The following is a 7,600-nucleotide window of genomic DNA, read 5'->3' as shown; positions in this document are numbered from 1 at the left end:
AGTTTTCGGGGACATTAAGCTCGCCCCAGGGGTCCACAGGAACCCTCTGACCCAACGGTCTCTCTGGACAGGATGATCCAGAACAGACGGTGAAGAGACAAAACAGCGTGAAAGGGAGCGGCGATACCTAAACTGACCTCCGGAGGGCAGCATGATCAAGGGAAGGAGCTGTTCTCGCTCCGCTCAAACCCCCGCGCAGCCTCTGCAGCTTACTCCTGCTTCGGAAGGCGGCGAGGTTCCACCCCCACCACCCCGGTCCCCGCCGCCCTCTTCGCGCTGAAGCTGCGGAGGGTCTTTTTCTTCAGCCCCCAAATCCTCTGCTCTGTGGCTTAAGATTCCCAGGCTTAAACCCATAACTGCTAGGGTCATCACTCCTCAAACTTCTCCCTCACTTGTTTTGCTGATGACGGACACAGGGGCCTCACAGACTCAGAAGCATCTGGAGTCATTTCGAAGGACAGAACTGTGGCAATATCCTCTTTCCCCCTCCTAATCTCTGAGAACAGTGTCTGTATATGGCACGGGGGTCCCTAGTGTCATATAGAAGGACTCGGAGATGTCCTCATGGGCTGTAACGGCCCCCGGTGCTATTCAGGGATCTCTGTTCTTTAAAGAAATATCATTTCCCCTTATTTCTCTACCTTTGTGCCCTCACCTCGCCCTGAATTGTTTCTTAAACTGGGCTTTCTGGGAAACGTTTACTTCGTGTTCAACAGCAAAGTCTCGGCATAAGGCGAGGGCGGCAGGGGGTGGGGGGCGGGCGTTTGCTCGCCTTGGCATTAATTTCAGAGCTGCTGAACGTGGACAAAAGAGAGGGAACATCCTCCTTTCTTCCATTCCTGTAAATATGGACCCACCCACCCTCCACTTAAGATGGGTGGCTTTTCTGATTTTAAGATATCAAGCAGCCTGGCGAGGTGGCTGACACCTGGGATCCCAGAACTTTGGGAAGCCGAGGCGGGAAGATCCCTTAAGGCCAGGAGTTCTAGACCAGCCTGGCCAATATGGCGAAAACCCATCTCTACTAAAAATACAAAAATTAGCCTGGCGTGGTGGTGCCTGCCTATAATCCCAGCTACTAGGGTGGCTGAGTCAGGAGAGTCGCTTGAACCTGGGAGGCGGAGGTTGTAATGAGCCGAGATGGCCACTGCACTCCAGCCTGGGTGACAGTGAGACTCTGTCTCAAAAATAATAATAATAATAATAATAAAAAGATATAAATTGGCTGGGCTTTAAAATAAAGTAGTCAGAGGCCCAGGGTGGTGACTCATGCCTGTAATCCTTTTGGAAGGCAGAGGCCAGAGGATCTTGAGCACAGGAGTTTGAGACTAGCCTGGGCAACATAGGGAGACCCATCTCTACCAAAAAAAAAAAAAAAAAAAAGCAAAAAGCCAAGCATGGTGGCCCATGCCTGTGGTCCCAGCTAGTTGTGAGGCTGAGGCAGGAGGATTGCTTGAGAACAGGAGTTAGAGATTGCAGTGAGCTATGATTGCACTACTGCACTCCAGCCTGGGTGACAGAGTGAGACCCTATCTCTTTTTAAAAAATTAAAAAACAAAGTAGATTTAGTGTGAAGATTCAAGGAAAGAAAGAGAAAGCAAGACAAAACTTTAAGGAGAGGAGAATCGAAATTGGCTGACTTCACCCTGGACATAATGGACACAGCTATTCATGTTACGTACTAGCGTTAACAAAGTGTTTTCAGAAGCAGTTGTCATTAAACCAACACATTTATTGAAGCTCTTCTCTGTGTTCTGTGATAGGCACTGCGGATTCAGCAGAGACTAAATCAAAGTCCTTGATCTCGGAGAGCACATATTTCATCTAATTGAATTCACATACCAGCCTTATGAGGAGGTGTTCTTCCTGTTTCAGGTAATGAGCTTGAATTTCAAATAATGAGTTCAAAACCATATAGGCACTCAGTGGCTGAACCTTCTGTGCCCACATTCAGCTTTTGTTCTATGACTCCAGGCTGGGAGTCATGGAGCTGAGGAGGCAGCCGGTTGTAGAGAAGCAACAGATTAATAAGTAATAGTAAATTATTGAAAAAATATTTACAGAACTGAAGGAAAAGCTGAACAGGCGGTCTTTGGAAAGGACAGAAGCCAGGATAGTTCCAGCATCCAGGCAGCAGACACCAATGGTCAGTGCTTCTACTTTGGATCAAAAAGAGAGAACTCCAATAGGCTTAGGGTGGGTCAGGTGCTCACACTCATCTGAGGAAGGGGAGGGTCCCTTGAGGAATAGTACCATAGACTACCCAATGTTGGAGGATAATGGCCCCAACGCAAAAATGGGATCTTGCCACCAGACAAATGGGATATAGATGCCAGGCTGCAAAATCCAACAAATGTACACGTGCCCAAATCCCGACTCCATCACTAATAGCCATGCAATCCTCTGACTATCAATTAGATTAATTGACACTCTTTTTTCTCTCGCTACTGTGGTACATGCAGTAGTTACCTTTATTCTTCACTTTGTTTTCTCATAAGACTAACAAGCAGTTTTTTAAAATAAAGAAATAAAAGCAAAATTGCTTATTGTCTTAGTCTATTCATTGGCAAACTAGTAACATTAAATAAACTCCAGACAGAGCCACTGGAGAAGAATCAAGTACAACTTAGTAGAAATAACACCGTATGTGTGAAGGTGAGTGTGTGTGTGTGTGTGTGTGTGTGTGTGTGTGTGTGTGTGATGGAAAATACTTTGTCCTGCCCAAACTGTAAGTCATGACCATGCCCCTCTCAGCAGAAGTTTATCTTCATCTCATTTGGAAGTTTATAAGAACACAGCTTAAAAAAAACCTGTGATTTTGGAGCAAGGTCAAGCCTTTGCTATTGCTTCCACATTTTGTTTTGTTTTATTTATTTATTTACTTTTCAGTTTTTTGGAGTTTTCTTTATTTGTTTGTGTTTTTGAGACAGGGTCTCGCTCTGTTGCCCAGGCTGGAGTGCAGAGGCACCATCTCGGCTCACTGCAACCTCTGCCTCCCGGGTTCAAGCGATTCCCCTGGCTTAGCCTACTGAGTAGCTGGGATTACTGGCACGCACCACCACATCCAGCTAATTTTTGTATTTTCAGTAGACACTGAAATACATGTTTGCCATGTTGGCTGGGCTGGTCTCAAACTCCTGGCCTCATGTGATCTGCCTGCCTCGGCCTCCCAAAGTGCTGGGATTACAGGCATGAGCCACCACGCCTGCCTAGTTTTTAGTTTTTTGAGACAGAGTCTTGCTCAGTTACCCAGGCTGGAATGCAGTGGCATGATCACAGTTTACTGCAGCCTCGACCTCATGGATTTAAGCAATCCTCCCACCTCAGCCTCTGGGATAGCTGGGACTACAGTCATGTGCCACCACACCTGGCTAATTTTTGTATTTTTTGGTAAACGAGGTTTCACCATGTTGCCCAGGCTGGTCTTGAACTCCTGAGCTCAAGTGATCTCCTACCTCGGCCTCCCAAAGTGTTGGAATTACAGGCATGAGCCACTGCCCCAGCTGTTTTATTAATTTAGTTAAAAATATATGAAAAGAGGCCCTGCGCGGTGGCTCACGCCTGTAATCCCAGCACTTTGGGAGGCTGAGGTGGGCGGATCACCTGCGGTTTTGGAGTTCAAGACCAGCCTGACCAACATGGAGAAACCCCATCTCTACTAAAAATATAAAAAATCAGCTAGGCATGGTGGCACATACCTGTAATCTCAGCTACTCGAGAGGCTGAGGCAGGAGAATTGCCCTAACCCAGAGGAGGTTGTGGTGAGCCAAGATTGCGCCATTGCACTCCAGCCTGGGCAACAAGAGCGAAACTCTGTCTCAAAAAAAAAAGTATATATATATATATATATATATGAAAAGGCTGGGTGCGGTGGCTCACGCCTGTAATCCTAACACTTTGGGAGGCTGAGGCAGGTGGATCACCTGAGGTCAGGAATTTGAGACCAGCCTGGCCAACATGGCAAAACCGTGTCTCTACTAAAAATAAAAAAATTAGCCAGGCATGGTGGCAGGCGCCTGTAATCCCAACTACTTGGGAGGCTGAGGCAGGTGGATCACCTGAGGTCAGGAATTTGAGACCAGCCTGGCCAACATGGCAAAACCCTGTCCCTACTAAAAATACAAAAATTAGCCAGGCATGGTGGCAGGTGCCTGTAATCCCAACTACTTGGGAGGCTGAGGCAGGAGAATTGCTTGAACTCAGGGGGCAGAAGTTGGCAGTGAGCCAAGATCACACCATTTCACTCCAGTCTGGGCAAAAGAGCAAGATTCTGTCTCAAAAAAAAAAAAAAAAAAAAAAAAAAAAAATATATATATATATATATATATATATATATATATATATATATATATATATACATACATACACACACACATACACACATACAGGCACTAGCCAGGCGTGGTGGCTCATGCCTGTAATCCCAGCACTTTGGGAGGCCGAGGCGGGCAGATCACAAAACAGGCAGGGCATGGTGGTCCACGCCTGTAATCCTAGCACTTTGGGAGGCTGAGGTGGGCAGATCACTTGAGCACAGGAGTTCGAGACTAGCCTGAGCAACATGGCGAAACTCTGTCTCTACCAAAAATACAAAAATTAGCTGGGTGTGGTGGTGCATGCCAGTAATCCCAGCTACTCCGGAGGCTGAGAGGCAGGAGGATTGCTTGGGGAGGCAGAGGTTGCAGTGAGCCGAGATGGCACCACTAGACTCCAGCCCAGGTGACAGAGGGAGACCCTGTCTCAAAAAAAAAAAAAAAAAAGAAAGAAAAGAAGAAAAGAAAAACAAATCACCTGCCTTATGAAGAAACAGTTTGTAATAGATATAAGACACAGAATGTGCAGCCCCTGGTATGGAATAAGTCCTTAGAAAATGTTAGTTTCCTCTCTGTCCCTGTGTGACATGAAGGGAATTCCAGGGCCAGTGCCACTTCCTGGTGGTTTCCCTCACTTAAGTGCTGTGTACCCCATTGCAAAAGCATGTCTTCCAGGTTCCTGATACCACATCCCATGTCCTCTGCCTTTGGGGCTCTCATAGGATTAAGTGTCATTTTCCCTATGAACTAGAAAAGAATCTTCTGAACGTCTGCCTTGGGACTGATGATATAGCTGAGCTGAAAGGACAATTAGTTTTCCTCCCCAGACCAACCCAACCTTCAAGGCTGGGGACTCATTTGATGCTCCCATTCAAACATTTGGAGAAAATTGTCTCTGAGTACCAGGTCTTTTTAGCATATTTTCTCCAAATGTTACATCCTTAGGGGCTTTGAATAGTAGAAGAGCCTTCAACATTGGTTCAGATGGAAGCATGCAGGCATGTGGAGAGTTGCCACTCCCTGATCCCTGAAACAAGGCTTAGGATGGAAAAGAGCCTCCTGGGGAGGTTGGCTCTGAATGTAAAGCTGGGAGAGGCACCTCCTGTCAACCTAAGGGCTTGTTGGTAGGGGCAACATGTTGACCTGGCTTCCTTCCCACTCTGAGACATCACTGGCTCTCATGCAGAGCTATTTTCCTTCTTTCTTTCTTTCTTTCTTTCTTTCTTCTTTCTTTCTTTCTTTCTTTCTTTCTTTCTTTCTTTCTTTCTTTCTTTCTTTCTTTTCTTTTCTTTTCTTTCTTTCTTTTTTTTTTTGAGACGGAGTTTCACTCTTGTTGCCCAGGCTAGAGTGCAACGGCACGATCTCAGCTCACCACAACTGCCACCTCCCTGGGCCAAGCAATTCTCGTGCCTCAGCCTCCCGAGTAGCTGGGATTACAGGCATGTGCCACCATGCCCAGCTAATTTTGTATTTTTAGTAGAGATGGGGTTTCTCCTTGTTGGTCAGGCTCGTCTCAAACTCCCAACCTCAGGTGATCCACCTGCCTTGGCCTCCCAAAGTGCTGGGATTACAGGAGTAAGCTGCCGTGCCTGGCCTTTCATTCTTTTCTTTCCTTCTTTCCTTCTTTCCTTCCTTCCTTCTTTCCTTCTTTCCTTCCTTCCTTCCTCCCTCCTTCCCTCCCTCCCTCCTTTCTTCTTTCTTCTCTTTCTTTCTCCTTCCTTCCTTCTCTCTCTCTTTTCTTTTCTTTCTTCTTTCTGGGTTTCGCTCTATTGCCGAGGCTGGAGTGCAGTGAGTGGCACGATCACGGCTCACTGTAGCCTCAACTTCCTAGGCTCCAGCGATCCTCCTACCTCAGCCTCCTTAGTAGCTGGGATTGCAGGCATGAGCCACTGTGCCCAGTGTAATGCAGGGCTCTTCATCCAGGATCCCAAAGGGCAAACAAAAATAGGAGAAAATTACATTTCATTTTCACTAATCTCTAACTGAAATTTAGCATTTTCTCCAATGATAAATGTAGGCAATAAACCTACACCGGTATTTGTAGTACATGTGACTGTTGTTAATAGAATTTACACATTTGTGTCATCTTCCAGTAGTTGCAGAAATTTCAAAATGTCATGTATGCTCACGGTTACTTTGTAGTTAGTGGTAGTGGTTAGACTCACCACTAGATCTTCTTCTTACACATTTTGTTTCATTTTGACAACTGTACTTCAATATGATTGTTTTCCTTTGTAATCCCATTTATTTTACTTTATGCAGTTGAAGATTATTCTGACACTCCACAGACTTCACCAGACTTCCAAAACCTGTCCTAGACGTAAAAAGTTAAGAAACCTTAAATCTCTAATGATGCTGTCATTTCCTGTTTTGTATTATCTTACAACCAGGGTAATTAGGAATGCCTTCTTCTTCTTCTTTTTTTTTTTTTTTTTTTGAGACGGAGTCTTGCCCTGTCACCCAGGCTGGAGTGCAGTGGCACAATCTTGGCTCACTGCAACCTCTGCCTCCCGGGTTCAAGTGATTCTCCTGCCTCAGCCTCCCAAGTAGGTGGGATTGCAGGCATCCACCACCATGCCCAGCTATTTTTTTGTATATTTAGTAGAGATGGGGTTTCACCATGTTGGCCAGGCTGGTCTTGAACTCCTGACATCAGGTGATCCACCCACCTCAGCCTCCCAAAGTGCTGGGATTACAGGCATGAGCCACCGTGCCTGGCTTGCTTTCTTCTTGTTTAAACTAAAGGTCTTCTTGTAAAATTCCTGCTTATATTTTCTTCATTATTACTCAAATTCAATTATTCATTTATTTGCCAAATATTTAGAAAACACTTCTCTTGTACAAAACCATGCTGCATAAAACTGTTATTATGCGAAAAATAATCCTTACTCGCCATGCCCTCTACCCCGACCCCCCAACCCCATTTACAATCTGGTAGAGCTGGACTGTTTACCCACATAGGACACACAGGCTGCAGCTTACCATGGGCAGGGAGTGGGGATGGTTGTTCCAGGTGCAGGTAATAAGAAGGTGTATTGTCTGTGGAGAATTTAAAAATAATTCTAAAACCAACTTTTTTTTTTTTTTTTTTTTTGAGATGGAGTCTGACTCTTTGGCCCAGGCTGGAGTGCAGTGGCACCATCTTGGCTCACTGCAGCCTCTGCCTCCCGGGTTCCAGTGATTCTCCTGCCTCAGCCTCCCAGGTAGCTGGCATTACAGGCACACACCACCACGCCAGGCTAATTTTTGTGTTTTTAGTAGAGACGGGGTTTTACCACGTTGGCCAG

The 7,600-nt window shown here is 45.9% G+C and overlaps 1 long non-coding RNA gene across 1 annotated transcript; it reads left to right on the top strand.

Moving 5' to 3' along the window:
* Positions 1 to 1,740: 1,740 nt before the first annotated feature.
* On the top strand, positions 1,741 to 2,539 carry LOC105375022 (uncharacterized). The gene is made up of 2 exons (NR_187834.1): positions 1,741 to 1,875; positions 2,064 to 2,539. It is a non-coding gene; the product is annotated as an uncharacterized LOC105375022 (long non-coding RNA).
* Positions 2,540 to 7,600: the final 5,061 nt, after the last annotated feature.

This window comes from Homo sapiens, chromosome 6 (genome assembly GCF_000001405.40).
Source record: "Homo sapiens chromosome 6, GRCh38.p14 Primary Assembly".
In the NCBI taxonomy this organism is placed as follows: Eukaryota; Metazoa; Chordata; class Mammalia; order Primates; family Hominidae; genus Homo; species Homo sapiens.
Note: the sequence above shows the minus strand (reverse complement) of the source record. Positions and strands in the feature narration are given on the sequence as shown.